We start from the raw sequence: 18,512 nt of genomic DNA on the forward strand, positions 1-18,512 counted from the left end.
TCCAAATAATTTTCATTTTAAAGGTCTTACAGGTGAGGAGAGTTTAAATGCATTTATGTAAATACAGGTGGTCAGAGTGTAGGAAGGGTGAGCTGTCGAGGGCAAGCAATATGCATTTCTCTGTTGGCTGTTTATCTAGATGCAAGCCTTGTGTTTTTGTGCCTAATATAAAAAAGTGGAGGAATTCGATTTCTGAGCTTGGTGAATAATAATCTTTTTATGTTAAAAATAGCATTAGTTATTGAACAGGTAACACACCCTTTGTCTGGAGAAATAAATTATGGCAACTGTCCCCCAAAATACAGCTGTGAACTTAAAAGATGTAGACCTCTGAGTATTATGAAGAAAATGGTTGTAATAAAGCCCATGGACTTCACTCTGTGGTCAAAACTGTGTCACCTTCCTGAGACCTTTCTGAAACCTGTAACTTTGTCCTGGATGTAAAAGTAAAGCAGCCAAATAGGAGCAGTGGTGATGGCTTTGTCAAGACACTAAAGACGGTGGAAGGGTAAAAAAACAATGTTAAAACCCAGTGTTCTGAAACCATTTAGTAAAATTTTAATAATGCCTGGAGTCCCCTCTTAGTGCTGAGCATATCATGTGTATTCTGTCATCCACCCTTACCTATCAGTTCTATCTCTTTTTATTTTATTTTACTTTAATTATTTTTTTGAGACAGAGTCTCACTCTGTTGCCCAGGCTGGAGTGCAGTGGTGTGCACTCACTGCACTCTGAACTCACTGCAACCTCTGCCTCCTGAGCTTAAGCGATTCTCATGCCTTAGCCTCCCAATAGCTGGGACTACAGGCATGTACCACCATGGCCAGCTAATGTTTGTATTTTTAGTAGAGATGAGGTTTCACCATGTTGGCCAGGCTGGTCTCGAACACCTGACCTTAAATGATCCACCTGCCTGGGCCTCCCAAAGTGGTGGGATTACAGGCGTGAGCCACCGCGCCCAGCCTCTATCTCTTTTTAATGGAGAGAAGGCTGAGAATGGCAGCAAGGAATGAAATCCTTTCCTCAAATGAATTTTTAGATGCCTTGGTGTTTGGGTCTCGAGGTGACAAAACTTTTAAAAAATTATTTTAAGTGGAAAGACTTTAAATTTTATTAAACCTGGGTTTTAAAAACATTTCTTTAATTTTTTTTTTTTACTAACCAGGGTCAATTTTGAACACAACAATGTATCTGTGCCAGCCTACCAAAGGATGATGTCTTCAAATTGTAGTAATAGAGTATGGTGAAGAAAAAGTTATAGCCTTTAGACTTTTACAAAACTGGTTTGAATCTCAATTCCGTGCCTACCATCAGTGAGTCCCCAAAACAAAGCACTGAAATTCCTGGCTCAGCTTTCCCTGGAATGTATTCATCACCTGCCGCATAGCCCCTAGTGCTTGCATAATGCTTAGTATGCGGTAGCCTTTTGGTAAATGTTAATGGCTTACACTTGGAATGCAACTTGTGCTTCCATAAAACATCTTCTGTAGATACGGACTGAAATAGTGGGTTTAAAAAAAATGGCTTAAGACTAGATGTCTCGAATTTCTTTATATTTCTTTGGTTTTAGGACCTTTCACTTTGTTTTCTTTTTATAGCTTTATTGAAGTTTGATTGACATACAATAAACTACACACATGGAAAAGGGAAGTGTACAGTTTGATAAATTTTGACATTTTTACACCCATGAAACCATTGCCAGTATTACAATATTGAACGTATCCGTCACCCTGAAACGTTTCCTCGTGCCTGTAATCCCTCCTTTTTCTCCCTTCCTGCACAAGTTAAACATATATGTGCCATATGATCCAGCTGTTCCACTTCTAGGGAGTTAACCAAGAGAAGTGAACATCTGCCTTAAGACTTTTATACAAGAATGTTCCTAGAACCGTTCCTTTATTCATAGTAACCCAAAACCAAAGTTACCAAATAGCCATCAACAAATGAATGGATCAACAAATTATGATATATCCGTACAATGGAATGCTATTCAGTAATAAAAAGGAATGAATTGTTGTGTTCAGGTTAAATTGAAGATTGCTGTATTTGAAGCAGATTTGCTTTCTTTGTTGTATTGATTTTCCTTTACTTAGCATATCCCCCCAAATGAAGGAAACTAGCCTAATATTTAGTTAGTTACAGATGAACCATAGAAGGTTGTAAGTTATATTTGGGTAATTAAGGATTGATTATTCCTCAGAGAACTTGCAGTAAAAAAGAGTCAAAAGTTTGTTTTGCTGCAGGACATTTTTCTATAATGCCAAATAGCTTATACACAATTGGTAAATAGAAAATGATGTCCATGATGGTTGTGTGGGTTTGAATGAGATTTTTCATAGGCAAGTGGGAGTAGAATTAAAAAGGAAAAGAAAAAGCCCTCAGATTGGCTGCTGCACAGATAGAACAGATAGAAATTCTTTTAAGTCTGGTTTGTGAACAATAAAGATTAGTTTCTGGAAAAAGAAATAGTTCTTGGACTCAGCCTCCCTCCCCAGCCTTGCTCAGCTTCTGGAAAGGTTGTATCTTCTCCTGTGCCTACCTTAAAACAGCAGTCTCCATCAGTGGCTTGGAGTTCTACTTCAGTCTGCATCGTTTTAGTGCCTGCAAATGAAAACGCAGTTTTACTTTATTCTGTTAATATTTTGTATATCCTGAGTCAGTCCCTCACCATGCTGAGTTGCTTGCCTGAACTATTTAAGTTGTTTCTTGAGAAACCAACTGTTATTTTTGTTAGACTCTAATTACAAAGTTGCATAAATTTTAAGTAGTCTCTCTCAACCGTGTTTCTACCTCCTTTATTTTTTATTTTCCAGAGTGAGTTTTTTTCAGGAACATATATATGGGTTTCTAAAAAAACACCCCACCTGAATGTTAAAGTAATTTGTTTTTAAAAATTTCCTGGAAATATTTTATTTAAAATGCATTTCTTACTGTTTTTAGCTAATACCTCTTGCTTACTATGCGTCAGATGTTCAAAGTACTTACCAAAGATTAGCTCATTTAATTCACACGATGCTGCGTGATGAATCTGGTATTATCGTTATTTTACAGAAAGGGAATAAGAGGATCAGAGAGAATGAGTAACTTGTCTAAGGTCACACTACTGGTAGTCTGGTTCTGTAGGCTCTGGTCCTACTATGCTACATTGCCTTCTGTACCCTGTTGAATATAATAAACTAGATTTGATTATGGCATTTTTTTGTATATGTTAAATTGATGGTTTCATAGCAAATCAAAACCTAGTCAGCATCAAATATACAAGTGAAAAGAGTTGCAGTGAACTCATAAGGACAGCAAACTTAACAGATTCATCCTTTTAGAAGCTGGGAAAATGATGTCAAATTTATACTCTGTAATTGTCATAATAAGTAGTTTTTTAGAAGTCTTCATTTCATTTGGTTAGTTATTTATGTTTTACATTTCTTCTTAGGCATATCACACCTGAAAAATTTTATGTGGAAGCTTGTGATGATGGAGCAGATGACGTACTTACCATTGACCGTGTGTCCACAGAGGTTACCCTTGCAGGTATTTTACAGCCAGATTTAGAAGTTTAGGGAGAAAGATTTTATACATAAATTACAGTAATTAAAAAACATCACTCAGAGGTGTGTCAGTGTGTGGATCTCTGAGTGCATTCTTATTAAAATTTTTATTCTTGCTACCTCATTCATAGGTTGGTGCATCAATTTTATGCTATCTCCTTTTCTGTGAAAAGGAGAAATGATCTTGAAAATTTTAGGTAGCATTTTACTGTCCGTAAGGATTTAAAAACATAATATTTATTATTTTTTTCCCTTAGCTGTATTTTAACAGGATTGGTTTAGATAGCTAAGCTTCTTTCTAGCTGTAAGATTTAAGATATTTGAGAGTGAAAAAGTTGTTTCAGCTTTAAGAGTATGGAATTTTAACAGCTACTTTTGTTTTGAAAGCTTTCATGACTATGTGGAAATTTAATAAATGAAAAATAAAATATACTTCACTGACTAAAACTTGTAGGTGTTCTTAGGCAAATGATGTTTCTAAGTTTTATCTACCTAACCAGTTATACTTTGGTTATGCTTTTCTGGGATGTGAAAAACAAACTTTTTTTTCACTTGTGTGGAACACCCTGACTTTCCAAATAGATAAATACGAAATAATTTTGGTGGCAAATTAATATACCATGTGATAACATATTTAGAATTTCATATTTCACTTGTTTAAAGATTCTATTCACCCCCAGAGTTCTATATTTATTTTTTTCTTAAAGTACAATATTTGAATAACCATAGAGTAGGCATTCAGTAAATAGCCTTTGAGTGGGTGAAGTGAAGTACGAAAATATATTCCATGAGATAATGGGGTGTAAGACAAGTATGGCTATAAAATTTCTGTTTTTTTGATTATGTGGTAATTCTGGTAGGTACTATATATAGTTTGTCTTTGATCAAATGGAATTAGAGCTCTGTTTTAGTTTGATAATTTGACATTTCCTATTTGTCTGTTGCTTGGTGGCTGCTCTCTCAAGATAGCTGACTGGTTTTAACTAGTGTTAGTACACTTCTCCTAAAGTTTAAATTATACTACTCTTTATACCATGTTGATACAACCTAGTGTCTTACAAGAGCTTTAATGTGGGTGTATTTTCAGTTATCCTTGATCTTTCAGTAATGTTTTATTTGTAGGTAGAGATTGCAGACCCATTTGAATAGACTGAAAAGCTAAAGGTCATGAATAGTTTGAATGTAAAGATGATGATGCCAAACAGTCATCAGTAAGACACATGATAAAATACTTCCACGCAAAGTCAGTACTGATGAGCGACTGACTTGCTGACAGTTTCTTAGCCAGTTTCTTTTCACCACTGCGAATGCAGACTATGTTATTCCTAATGGGATTATTTTTTCTTCCATGAAAAAACCTAACATACATTCTAGGAGTTATCACAGTTTTATTGCTGTTACACTCCAGTTTACATAACTTATAGCTCTATCAATAGTGCATTTAAGTTAAGGAATGTTGCTTTTCTTAGAACAAATCATGCAAATTGATGTAGTCAAAGTAACTATTGAAATCGAACTAAATTTCTGTTTCTGTTGGTGAGCTTTTTGTATGTGATTTTTCTTTCTTTCCTTTCTTTTAAAGTCAAGAAAGATGTTCCTCCTTCAGCTGTCACAAGACCAATATTTGGTATACTGGGCACAATCCATCTGGTGGCAGGTAAGAGAAAATAAGCTAAGATGGGCAAAGAAGGTAATTAGCAAGGTAGTTAAATTGTTAATATTAGAGTGAGTATACGATGAAGTAATACTTTGTATCATGCTTTAAGCAGTAAATCTCTTGGTTAAGTATTTATCATTAATTTTTAAAAGAAATACTCCCCAAATGGTAAAATTTATCAGCGTGAGCTTCTATTATTTAAAAAAAAGTTTTGTATTTTGTTGTGTTTCAGTTAGAGTTGAAATCCTTAGCTAGATAATTTTCACAAATGGAGTATGTAAATAAAATTTTTTTTTTTTTTTTTTTTTTTGAGTTGGAGTTTTATTCTTGTTGCCCAGGCTGGAGTGCAATGGCATGATCTCAGCTCACTGCACCCTCCGCCTCCCGGGTTCAAGTGATTCTCCTGCCTCAGCTTCCTGAGTAGCTGGGATTACAGGTGCCTGCCACCACACTCGGCTAATTTGTTATATTTTTAGTAGAGATGGGGTTTCACCATGTTGGTCAGGCTGGTCTTGAACTCCTGACCTCAGGTGATCCACCCACCCCAGCCTCCCAAAGTGCTGGGATTACAGGCATGAGCCACCACGCCCATCCTGTAAATAAAATTTTCAATGCATCAGTGGAACAGGGTATTCTACACCTTCAGCCCTGTAGTAATAGGACATAGTGCATATTAGCAAATGTTACTTGGTTCTGAGTTGTTAAGAAGGTGATTTTTGTTTAGATTTAATTTGATTGAGCTTGTTTGAAGTTCCTATTTTTTCAGGCATCATGCTAGATGCTGAGTTATAAAGGCTGAAAGTCCATTTTGCCCTGCAGTTCACAGTCTAGTGAGAGAGGCGTGTAAGTAGTAAATTACTGCAGTACAGTGTGACAAGTTCCAGGAGAGACATGTACATGGCAAAACTTTCAGAGGGGGAACTTGTGGGTAGAATGTTGAACAGACCTGAAGAATTAATTGAGTAGGAAAGGGTTACTCTGTTTTATGTATTTCTGGGGTGAGGAGGTGGCAAGGTCAGGATTGGTGTATTGTGCATGATGTTGTGATGACTCCTTGATTCCTGACCACTCATCCTTGTAATATTGCAGCAGCCAGTTAGGTATACTGCCCCAGCACATTTCTCTACCATTTAGAGAGAGACATGAAGGACATAGGAGTGGTGTGGAAGGGACATTGCCCTGTAGTGTCAGATCTCACGTCCTGATGCTTTAAGCTGCCTGCTGGGAAATGATTAGCAGAGGTCTGTATCCCTTGGGGGTGATGAAAGAGAGAAAGAGAAGTATTTTCTGTCTCTACTTTCCATTTACTAAGACAAATCCTTTGGTTATGAAAAGCTTTTGCTTTTATCTTTTTTGAGAAAAACATGACCTTTCAGTAAGAATTTTTCTAAATAATATGCTGACCTTTCTATTCATAAATTGTAAGGTTGCTTTAAAAATGGGCCTTTTATCTGAGTGGCACAATATAGTCTCATTCTACTAGCCTTTAAAGTTAAACAATAAGGACTCCTATTTCTACCTTTAGAGTTACTATTTTTATAATTATGTGTGTTTGGCTTGCTTTTTGCAGGTAATTATCTTATAGTCATTACCAAAAAGATAAAAGTAGGTGAATTTTTCAGTCATGTAGTCTGGAAAGCAACAGATTTTGATGTCCTTTCTTATAAGAAGACAATGTTGCACTTAACTGATATTCAGGTAAGAACTGGAAATTGTTACTAATTGCAGCGCCCAAAGAAGTAGCATGGGCTGGGGAGAGGAGGGTGAGGGTGTTGTGGAATACAAAGAATGCTATAATTATTTTAACAACCTATAGAGTAAGATCACTCTACCTACTTTTCTACCTAGGCATAAAAAATATTTTTTAAATCATTTGTTGCTCTTGTTTTTTTTTTTTTAAAGATTCAGTTCTTAAATTATGCAATTTCATATGGAGAGAAGGGAAAACAGAAATGCACGGGTACTCAACACCAGATTTAACTTCATATCCTCTTTGTAAAGAAATAAAATATAAATACCTTTGAAGTTCTACTCCTCTTAACTCATTCCCTTCTTTCCCAGAGAGGTTTTCTCTATTTTTACCACATGTGAATGTAAGTGTGTGTGTGTGTTTATGAAATGTGTATATATTCTTTCAGGCAGTTTTCCTTTTGCACTATTCCTGTATGCACAGATTTCAGTAACCATAGTTTAGTTAACACCAGTACCCAAACAGCATGGCTTAAATTTCAGTTACTCCAGTTTATTAACTGAAGAATTAACCCACCAAAGATGAAGGTGCAAAAAAACAAAAAGCAACAACTCTGGAAGAGAAATTGAAATTGAACATAAATGGAGCATAGAAGAAGTAGCTGACCATGGGAATGCTGACACTATTCACCATTCAAGGGACAGTAGGTATGCAGCCAGAGGTCCTGGTGCAGGCGAACTGACCGACATTAATGATGGAGTGGCTGTGACGAAAGGGATGACAGTATCCCAGAGAAAGTGATGCCTGCAACAGACTTCCCATTAAAGGAAACCTTGGAGATATTTCCCAACATTGAAAGTGCAAAGGATAAAATGTCAGAAGTTGGTTTAGACTTAGGAAGGTGTATGACAGTTCACCAGGGATAGAAGAAATATTCTGTATCTTAATCTATATGACAAGAAGGCGGCAAGCACTGTTCAAGTCTCTTGATAAATTTTTTTACAAAGAAAATATTTTTTATTCTCGGTGTTTCTAATGTTTTAAATTATAGTGTGCTAAATATTAGTTTTACAATTTGTTCATTTATGCTTATAATTTACTATATATAACTTACAAGTTACATCTACAACGTAACTATATAAGTTAATATCTATAACTAATATCTATAACTTACAATAGAGTTTTTAATGTTTTGACAAAAAAAATTTTTAAAGGTCATGAAACAGTCATAGTTTTTACAATTGACTGTTAAGATAGCTTAAGATTATTAAGATGAAAATAACATGGTAATTTTTACATTCCCACTTTACAAAGTAAAGACTGCCTGTATTCATATTTAAACAGGATCTGTTTTTGCTCGGAGTGTGTATGAAACTTACATGAATGGCATTGCCCTGTTCTGATTCTTTGAAACTTACTTTTTAAAGTCAACATTGTTTAGAGATATATATACCTGTTGAGAGTGATTGTTTTCTTAATGTAATTTTAGTTACATGTTTGCTATTTAAAAATTTTAAGTTGTATTTTTACACCCAATTTATAAGAATGTTTCTAGAAGAAAATATATTATTCTAAAACATATAACTTAGGATAAACATTTTAAAAAATAAAATTATAGCACTGCCTACCTGAGTAAAACTACAGGATATGCTTTTTATACTTTAGAATTTCTTTTTTATTATATATATCAAGAAATATATATCAATATCTTCATTCTCTACTAGGCATATTTTAAAGAAATAAAAACAGCTGTATTTATTTAATAGACCAGTCATATTTACTTAGACAATTTCTTCTCGATTGTTATTCTTTGTTGTCAAGCTGTGTAGCTAATTTTAAAAACATGTCTGAGCACAAATAAAAAATTTTGTATATGTAGATTTGTAACATGTAGATTAACAAGTTAATCATTTAGTAATGATTAAACGTTACCAAACATTAACAATTGTTTTTTAAAACAAGGATAAAAACAAATGTCAATCTTAGTATTCATTGGGAAAGCTAGTTAAAATGGTTTCCCAAAAATAAAGATAAATATTGCTTTTACTGGACTTTTTAATCTTTGTTTTAAAGAAAAAGAATTCCATTTTACTTCTCGTCCATCCCAAACCAGGGAACGTTTCTTGAGAATGTGGATGATGTTAGTATCTTGTTATTTGCTGTTTGCATTATTGGGCCCGTCGTAAATTTATGTGTTTTATTTGTCGAAGATAGCTATGCTAACTTAGCAGGGCTGTTGTGAAGATTAAAGGGAATCTTTGGAAAATACCTGGCACACAGTAGGTCATAACCGAAGGTGATGTTTTGTTAAAACTACTCTTCTGCCTTTGAGAATAAAATTTGTAAAGGATACAAAGGGGAGGAGTCCTACCTAATCAAGTTACCTAATAGTACCCTACAGTGTTTATTGAGTATCTTCTGTGTGTCAGGAACTGTCCTACATCCCAGGGAAATGGCGAGCATCCCCCTCACTGGCTCAGTCCTTGTGCCAGTAGTCTTTAATGAGACTGGACTTAACAGGATTTAATTTGTATTCTTTTCTCATGCTGGCAGATTCCTTTTCAATTATGAGCTATACTGATTTTTCTTTGTTTATAGTTACAAGATAATAAAACCTTCCTAGCGATGCTAAACCATGTCTTGAATGTGGATGGATTTTACTTTTCAACAACATATGATTTGACCCATACTTTGCAGCGGCTATCCAACACTAGTCCTGAATTCCAAGAAATGAGTCTCTTGGAAAGGGTAAGCTTGATCTTCAATTATTTTTATTTTTAGGTTTTTAAAAGGGACATGTCTCTGTTTCATGCATAAAAATTTATATTGATTTTTCTCAGTCCTGGCTATCTTAGAATCATGTATGAGGCTTTGAAAATATACCCTGTTTTAAATATACATCACAATCCCAGTGTGTGAGTCCTTGAATCTGTGTATATATACAGCCAGAATTGAGAATCACTGGTGTAGATATTCAGAAATCTTTGTATAAACACACATGTAAGTTATTAGAGGAAAATCTTTCAGAATTTGTATTTCTGCATAAGTATTACCAGGCTACCAAGTGCTAACTCTCAGATGTCAAATCTTCAAACTAGCATTGCATTCATTTGTAATTTCTTAACTCTCAGTGTTCGGTAGTGTAGCAGTTACATTAGCAGTGTAATTAGGCTTATAAAATTCATATTCTAACAGTTGATATTTCTTCTGTAGTGATGCTTATTTATAATTTTTATAACTAAAAATGTAACAAAAGTCACTAGAACTTGGAAAATATCCTTTTAAGGTTTTTTTTATTTTGCTTTTTTTTTTTTTCTTTGAGACAGAGTCTCACTCTGTCACCTAGGCTGTAGTGCAGTGGTGCGATCTCAGCTCACTGCAACCTCTGCCTCCTGGGTTCAAGCAATTCTCATGTCTCAGCCTTGTAGGTAGCTGCAATTACAGGCGTGTGCTAACACGCTTGGCTAGTTTTTAGTAGAGATGGGGTTTCGCCATGTTGCCCAGGCTGGCCTTGAACTCCTGGCCTCAAGTGATCCACCCACCTCATCCTCCCAAAGTGCTGGGATTACAGGCGTGAGCCACTGTGCCTGCCCAGTCTGCCTTTTTTTTTTTTTTTTTTAATATACAGTGAATATATCTTTAAAATTAGGTTTCATATGATCTCAACTTAAAGTTTCTTTTGTTCAGGAACCTGGATGATTGCTACCTGAATTTTTTTTTGACACACCTTAGAAGTGTTTAATGAGAAGACAGAATTTAAAAGGTCGCTCCATCTTACTTATTAGGTTGGACAATGTGAAGTCGCCAGTAATTGACCATTTTTGACCAATAAAAATGGTTATTTCATGTGGTTCAACCTAAATTAATATTTTAGTTGACTGGCTTTTTTGGGTGAGATTTTCAACTCTAATTTGGTAAAATTGTATGTAGGCTTAGATGGAAGTTTAGGTGCAGGCTAAGCATTCAAGAAACTTGGCTTTTAACTACAAAGAGACTTGCTTTTAAAAGCAGTTGCTACATTCTCCATTTGTTTATGAAACATCTCTACAACGTCAGCCATGTACCAGGAACTATACTAGCCCCTGGGGACCCAGAATGAAGCTGTGGACCCTGTCTTGTGGGAGCCTACAGTCTGCTGGGGAAGTGGTAGTCAAAGAATGGTTGCTATAATGGTGATATGTACCAAAGTGAGGTGGGATCCTGAAGGAATGAGGGTCTTTGCCTGAGGTTGTCAGGGACAACTTTATAAAGTAAGGTATCTACAGAGGACAGTAACTTTACACAGAAAGGTAACTTTTGAGCTGAGACTTGATGAAGATTTGTTGGTCAGGTGACAGTGGGCCGGGGGGTTCCAGGCAGAGGTGGTGGCAGAGGCTAAGCTGCAGAAAAAGCCATCTCATCTGTTGGGATGAGATGGGAATGTTTTGTCAGCTAAACAGAAAGTTAGCCAAGTGTAGTGGTTCATGCCTGTAATCCCAACACTTTAGGTGGCCGAGGCAGAAGGATTGCTTGAGTCCATGAGTTCAGGACCAGCCTGGGCAACATAGGGAGACCACAGCTCTACAAAAAAATTTAAAAATTAATCAGGTGTGGCGGCACGCACCTGCAATCCCAGCTACTCGGGAGGCTGAGGTGGGAGGTTCACTTGAGATAGAAGCCACAGTGTGCTGTCATCACGCCACTGCACTCCAGCCAAGGCAACAGCAAGACGGTCTAAAAAAAAAAAGTTAATGTTAACATAGGGAATCATAAAAGTGATAAATGGAACATATATACCCTAAATATTTTAACTTAAAACCTAAAAGTTTTACATTGGTCAATGTTTTTATGTACGGCCATAGGATTTTCTTTGTTTTTGGTTCCTTGATTCTGAATTGTCTTCCCTGTGTAAATTACATCCATAGGGCTTTCCCATTTGGGCCACTTTAAAGACTTTGACACTTACAGAGAAATCTGTGTGCAGAATCCTGTACATTTTTACTATGTTCTTTTATATTTTTTTAGTTGCCACTCCCACTCCAAATTCAACAGCAGTTTTGTTTTAGCAACTTGCCTCTTATCAAGTTACATTCCAAATCATTTAACTTTATAGAAACAGCAGTGTGTTTTTCATCTTATTTCATTGGTTTATAAAATAGTTAAACTATATAATGATGAAATAATAATAAGTATGACTGGTACAAATTCAGGAACACACACTTGAATCTCAGGAAGTGCGATTCAGCTGGTTGTGGTCAAGTGCAAAAGCCATTCCCTGTGACTTTTAGAGTCGGCGGTGCTGGTGGTTCAGTTGGTATGCTTCATAAATAGAATTGATTAATCTACTGAGTAGAGTCAGTTATTTTGTTTGTTTTTTCTTTTTTGAGACAGAGTCTTGCTCTGTCACCTATCCTGGAGTGCAGTGGCACGATCTTGGCTCATTGCAGCCTCCACCTCCCAGGTTCCAGTGATTCTTGTGCCTTAGCCTCCCCAAGTAACTGGGACTACAGACACGTGCTACCACGTCTGACTAATTTTTGCATCTTTAGTAGAGACATGTCGGCCAGGCTGGTCTCGAACTCCTAAGTCTCAAGTGATCCGCCTGCCTTGGCCTCTCAAAGTGCTGGGATTATAGGCATGAGCCACCACGTCTGGCCCTAAGTAGAGTTGATTAAATATAGATTGTTGAGGGAGCCTCTTCTGTATTTATGAAAGTTGGAGTGGCCAGAGATGAGATCAGAGAGTTAATTAGGGGCTGCCAGATCCTAGGACTGATTAGGCCATGCAGAGATTTGGTTCTTTAGATGACAGAGTCATTGAAGAATTTTGAGCAGATAGGAGACAGGACATGTTAGAGAACTCCTGCTGGTAGCATTGTGGAAAAATGAGTGGCGAGGGCTAATGCCTAAACTGGAGGCAAGGGAAGGTGTGTTAGTTAGGCTGGAGTCAGATGTTGGTAAAGATAGTGGGAGTAGAAATGTAAAAAATATGGATTTTGAAGGAGATTTAGTACTTGACAATTAAATGTAAGGGAAAGAAATACCGTAAAACTCCTCCCAGGTTTCTGTCTGGCCTGAGACAATGAGACAGAAATGCCCACAGGAGGTACAGATTTGCGGGGGAGATGTATTTTGTTTGAGGCCTGTCAAAGAAACTGGCTTCTAGCCATCAGAAAGAGACATTGATTGGTGTAGTTTTCTTTCTGTAGAAAGTAAGCTTGGCAGGAGATATTTTATTAAATTTTAAAACTTCTCTCAGGCAGATCAGCGGTTTGTATGGAATGGTCATCTTCTAAGAGAACTTTCTGCACAGCCAGAGGTAATGTACACGAAATAAAATCTGCTTAATTGTTACAGTCCAAGCTTTAATTCAATGCATGCTATAAAGTGACTTCCTAATCACCAAGAATTTCGAGAAACAATTCTAATTTAACTGTTTATAACTTACAAACTTGGATCAGGTCTACCCTGTCACATCATTCTAGGTTGAAGAAGCCTAACTATTTTACTCTGATCTTCTATAGAAGCCTTAAATAAAAATACATTGCTTTGTCTAACTAAGAGAGATACAGGGGATCTTGGTACATGGATAATGGAGAAATGAGGGGCCAGGGCCAAGTTTCCTGGCCAAGGGGAGAGCTCTTTTTTGTCTTCCTTTGGGGATGAGACTCCCTTCAGTCACCCAGGAGAGACATGCACAGGCACCGCCCTCTTCTGTCCTTTGTCTACACATATGAGGTATAAACAGGGAGGCCCAGCTAGGGAAACATGATATATTATTGAATCTAGGTAAATAGATGTGTCTAATTGCTTTATTTCTTGTCATTTGCTATGCTTTTTTTGGAAAAGTAGTTTGAGCTGCAAACAATTAGCATGGGATATCTTTTCCCTGGAGGAGTGAAGTTGTTGTAGGCAAAGACTGAAAAGGAGGTAAACATTCTGTAACTTCATGTAGCTTTATTAGTGTTCCAAAATCTGTGAATATTCAAGCTCAAATGATTGTAATGCATACTTAATGTTACATTAGAGAAATCTTTTAAAAATTATATTACCCATAAGTTTACTACCTTGTTATGTTTGTATATTACCTCCCTATGTGTAAATATTTTTATATAATGCTTATTTATTTTTAAAGTATATTTATTCTAAATATATATCTTCATTTCAGGTTCATCGGTTTGCCCTTCCAGTGTTACATGGCTGTATCCTTACATGATATTACTCTTTAGTTTCTAGATGCCTTTATTTAAATTTTATTATAAGGCAGATTTAGAGATAGTCTCAAATACTCCATAAGGAGAGTATTTCAGAATTAATATAAATTGCTGTTGATAAGAAAATCAAACTCATTGCTATTTTGTTTGTTTTTTTTTTTTTTAGAATGAACTTTTCAGACTATACGATTCTCTCTCTGTTCAAGAGTTCTGGGGTTGGTTGTTTAAAGAAAAGGAATATGTGTACTGTATTTTGCCTTTATTTGATGTTACCTTTTATCAGTAAATTACACATAAGTAGTTTGGACCTGGCTGTTGAAAACTTTCCTAAGTACATAATTTAAAAAGTTAGACTTAGGCCGGGCATGGTGGCTTGCACCTCTAGTCCCAGTTACTCAGGAGGCTGAGGTGGGAGGATGACTTGAGCCCAGGAGTTTGAGGCTGCAGTGAGCTGTGATGGCACCACTGCACTCCAGCCTGGGTGACAGGGTCAAAAAAAGTGAGACTCAGACACTAGTGTGGGTAACAAGTTGGAGAGGAGAATTACCATTAAAAATTTTGTCATTTGAAATAGTGACAGATAAATGAAAATAAGTAGAGTACAAAGAATATTGCCTAAGGGAGAAATCAGAGTACAGATACAAAATGAGTAATGATTATCTAATTGTAGGTTCATGTTAAAAACAGATCTATGTCATAGACATCATAATAAAAATAAAGCAGCCAAGTGAGCTGGCTCTTAAAGGATATATAAGCACAATATGCTCATGAGTGCCTATCCAGTTATGTGCCACATACTGACATTTCAGTCGGTGACAGACCACATATATGAAGGTGGTCCTATAAGATTATAATACCATATTTCTACTGTATCTTTTCTATGTTTAGATATGTTGAGATACACAAATACCATTGTGTTACAGTTGCCTACAGTATTTAGTACAGTAACATGCTATACAGGTTTGTAGCTAAGGAGCGATGGGCTATACCGTGTAGCCTAGGTGTGTAGTAGGCTGTGCCATCTAGGTTTGTGTAAGTACACTCTATAATGTATAGAATTGCCTAACGATGCATTTCTCAGAATGTACCCCTATTAAGTGATGCATGACTGTAATCAGGATTGTGCCCTGAAGAAAACGGTGATGACATCTATCAAGCACATGTAAGAAGCTTATCAATACAAGTCTATTATTTATTTATTCAGTATGTTAATATAATTTCACTAAACTTAATGCTTGTTATACTTAAAGAAAACCCAAAAAGTAATGGAGGAAACATGTTCCACAGTTATGGGGAAATAAAAATTAGAAAATTTCATGATAAAAGCTCATTTATTTTTGTTTCCCCACCCCGAGCTTTCCAAGTTCTCCTAAGGATAAAATAAGAATAAATGTGTTTATTCAGCCGGGTGCAGTGGCTCATGCCTGTAATCCCAGCACTTTGGGAGGCCAAGGCCGGCAGATCATGAGGTCAGGAGTTCGAGACCAGTCTGGACAACATGGTGAAACCCTGTCTCTACTGAAAATACAAAAATTAGCTGGGCGTGGTGGCTCACACCTGTAATGCCAGCTACTCGGGAGACTGAGGAAGGAATATTGCTTGAACCCAGGAGACGGAGGTTGCAGTGAGCCGAGATCGTGCCACTGCACTCCAGCCTGGATGACACAGCAAGACTCCATCTCAAAAAAAAAAAAAAAGTGTTTATCCTTATTTAGTGCCTTAAATGATTTGGGCCAACTATGGTGTTTTTTGTTTTTTGTTTTTTTTTCAAAATGAGATTGTGAATGGACAAACAATATTAAGTGAGATTATAGAACCTTTTTTTCTAGGCAATTTTAGAAACAGCTTACTCATTTACCTTTAAATTGAAAGCTTTAAATGAGCTTTTCTTTAGTGTAGTTTGTTGACTAGAAGTAAAATCATATGTTTCACACACATACAGAGACATTAATAAGTAAAATGACCCCAAGACAGGAACATGACTGGAATAGAGAGTGGACAGAGAGGCGGGAGCTGTGTTCAGAGAATTAGCTCAGCCCAGATGACTCAGGGCCTTATAAGCCATGGGAAGAACTGTGGCTTTTACTTTAAATGTGATGGGGCCAGGCATAGTGGCGCATGTCTGTAATCTCAGTGCCTTGGGAGGCTGAAGCAGGAGGATCCTTTGAGGCCAGGAGTTCAAGACCAGCCTGGAGAACATAGTGAGACCCTGTCTCTACAAAAATTTTTTAAAAATTAGGCATGGTAGCATGTGCCTGTAGTCCCACCTGCTCAGGAGGCTGAGTCAGGAGGATCACTTGACCCCATTTTGAAGCTTCAGTGAGCTATGATCACACCACTGTGTTCTAGCCTGGGTGACAGCGCAAGACCTCTACTCAAAAGATTTTGGAGAAGGGGAAAATTGGTGAAGGTGCATGCTAGAGTGATATCCAAGAATGTGTGAGGTGGGTGGGGGTCAGCGCACAGGTAGAGGGCCTGGTGTGGGCTGCTCACCTACCACTGTAGAAGGGAAGCAGATAGATGGATGTGGTTGCTGATGGGTGTGTAAATGTGATCGGGGCCTGTGGAGGGCTTTTATTTTTACAGCACCATATAAAGTGTCATAATGGGCCATGAGGGGGATGAGGGAGAAATGTTGCATGTTGAGGGGAGTATGTGAAATGCCATCCTGGAGAGAAGGCATGGATGGCCCTGGGAGTAACTGATTGATGAAAGACTAGAAGTAAATACACTCACATTTTAAAAGTTATGCTGATGGGATTCAGTTTTTATTTTACTCTTGTTCCTTCCATGCTTTCTGGATTCTCTAAAGTGTGTAGATGTTTTTGTCTTGTAATCAGAGGAACATGATTCATAAAGCAGTCAGTCATATTCTCTGCTAGATTTAGCTCTCTAAGAGCAGGCTTATCTGCCCTGCTCATTTTTGTGCCCTGGCTCGAAATAGATAATTTGGGTAAGGGAGCAAATATTACATTGGAGTCTTCTCTAGTGCTATGGGCTTCAAAGGAAAGTGAATTGGGAGCTCAAGAGGAGCCCTTATCAAGTCTGATGATACCAGGTAATAGAGATGAGTCATTAGCAGCTCAACTCATTGCTGATGTCATTAGGTACCATTTTGAAAAGCATTTGGTGTTCTCTTGTGAATTTGCCAGCACTTCTCCAATGCATACCCAATACATTCATACCAGGAGGTCTTTCCAGAATGTTCACAGTACCACGTTAGAGCAATACCATGAACGTCACAAGGGCTTGAAGTTTATAAATAGCGTAGTTTCATTTTTACAAAAAAGCAAGCTGCGTGTTTCTAAGTATGGTTGCATGTGATGAAACTAAAAAGATAGGAGAATGGTCTCCATGAACCTGAGAATAGTTACTTCTAGGTGAGAACACAATTGGATAAAATAGGGAAGGAGCAGATAAATAGATTCAGGGTTTTGGTACTGTTTTGAAGTTGGATGGTAGGTTCACAAATATTTATTTTATTATGCTGTTATACTTTATAATGGATGCATCAAATTATATTAAGAAAAAGTGTTACATATAGAAAATACCATAACCAAACCTAAACAAATGTGGAAGGAGAAAAAGTAAGGCCATTGAAACAATAAAACCTTTCTGTCATACCCCCCTGCTCCCCAGCCACAGTGTGGCATACATTAAAAAGCAGACAATAAATTAGCCAGACATGGTGGCATGTGCCTGTAGTCCCAGCTACCTGGGAGGCCAAGGTGAGAGGATGGCTTGGGCCCAAGAGTTTGAGGCTGCGGTGAGCCATGATGGTGCCACTGCACTCCAGCCTGGTTAGCAAAGCAAGAGCCTCTCTCTCAAATAAATACATAAATAATTTTTTTTAAAAAAGCAGACAACATCAAATGTTGGTAAAGGTGAGAAGCCAAAGTAATTCTTGAAGCAATATGGAATTTCCTAATAAGATCAGATGAGGAGTATACTCTGTAACCCAGCAGTACTGCTCCTTAGAGCCATTTCTGCTTATTTGTACAGAGATGTTTATTGCAACACTGTTCATAATAGTAAAACTGGAAACAGCTGGCATGTCCATGGACAGTAGAATGGATAAGTAACTGTAATCTAGTCATATAGTGGAATATTATACAGCCATAGCAGCAGCAAATGAACCTCATGACTATAATGAGCAAATAAAGAAAACTGAAAGAATACATACAGATTAATTCCTGTTATGTTAAAAAAAAAAAAAAGTCAAAAGCTGTTCAGACTAAACAAGAATTTGTTTAGTGGCAAAACTAGAAAGACAAGGGAATAATGAACTGAGTGGATAGTAGTTACTTCTTAGAGGGCAGTAAGGGAGCCACAGGGAAAGGTGCTTCAGAGATGCTAGTGGGTACAAAGGGGTGTGTGTATGTGTAATTTTTAAAATTATGATCAAATATACCTCATAAACAATTTGCC

General features: G+C 37.0%; 1 protein-coding gene across 6 annotated transcripts in view; it reads left to right on the top strand.

Annotated features, from left to right (window-relative positions):
- Positions 1-18,512, top strand: part of SACM1L (SAC1 like phosphatidylinositide phosphatase) — a 56,014-nt gene that overhangs the window by 10,612 nt on the left and 26,890 nt on the right. For 4 of the 6 annotated variants that reach the window (XR_007095650.1, NM_001319073.2, NM_014016.5 and 1 more), the window contains 6 exons: positions 3,431-3,528; positions 5,128-5,202; positions 6,773-6,900; positions 9,491-9,640; positions 13,130-13,189; positions 14,039-14,072. Coding sequence is in view for 5 of the 6 variants with exons in the window: in NM_014016.5 (NP_054735.3) it covers positions 3,431-3,528; positions 5,128-5,202; positions 6,773-6,900; positions 9,491-9,640; positions 13,130-13,189; positions 14,039-14,072 (545 nt within the window). In the remaining variant the exon portion in view is untranslated. The remainder of the gene's footprint in view (positions 1-3,430; positions 3,529-5,127; positions 5,203-6,772; positions 6,901-9,490; positions 9,641-13,129; positions 13,190-14,038; positions 14,073-18,512) is intronic. The other 2 variants (NM_001437893.1, NM_001319072.2) reach the window with 1 other exon arrangement.

This window comes from Homo sapiens, chromosome 3 (genome assembly GCF_000001405.40).
Source record: "Homo sapiens chromosome 3, GRCh38.p14 Primary Assembly".
Lineage (NCBI taxonomy): Eukaryota > Metazoa > Chordata > Mammalia > Primates > Hominidae > Homo > Homo sapiens.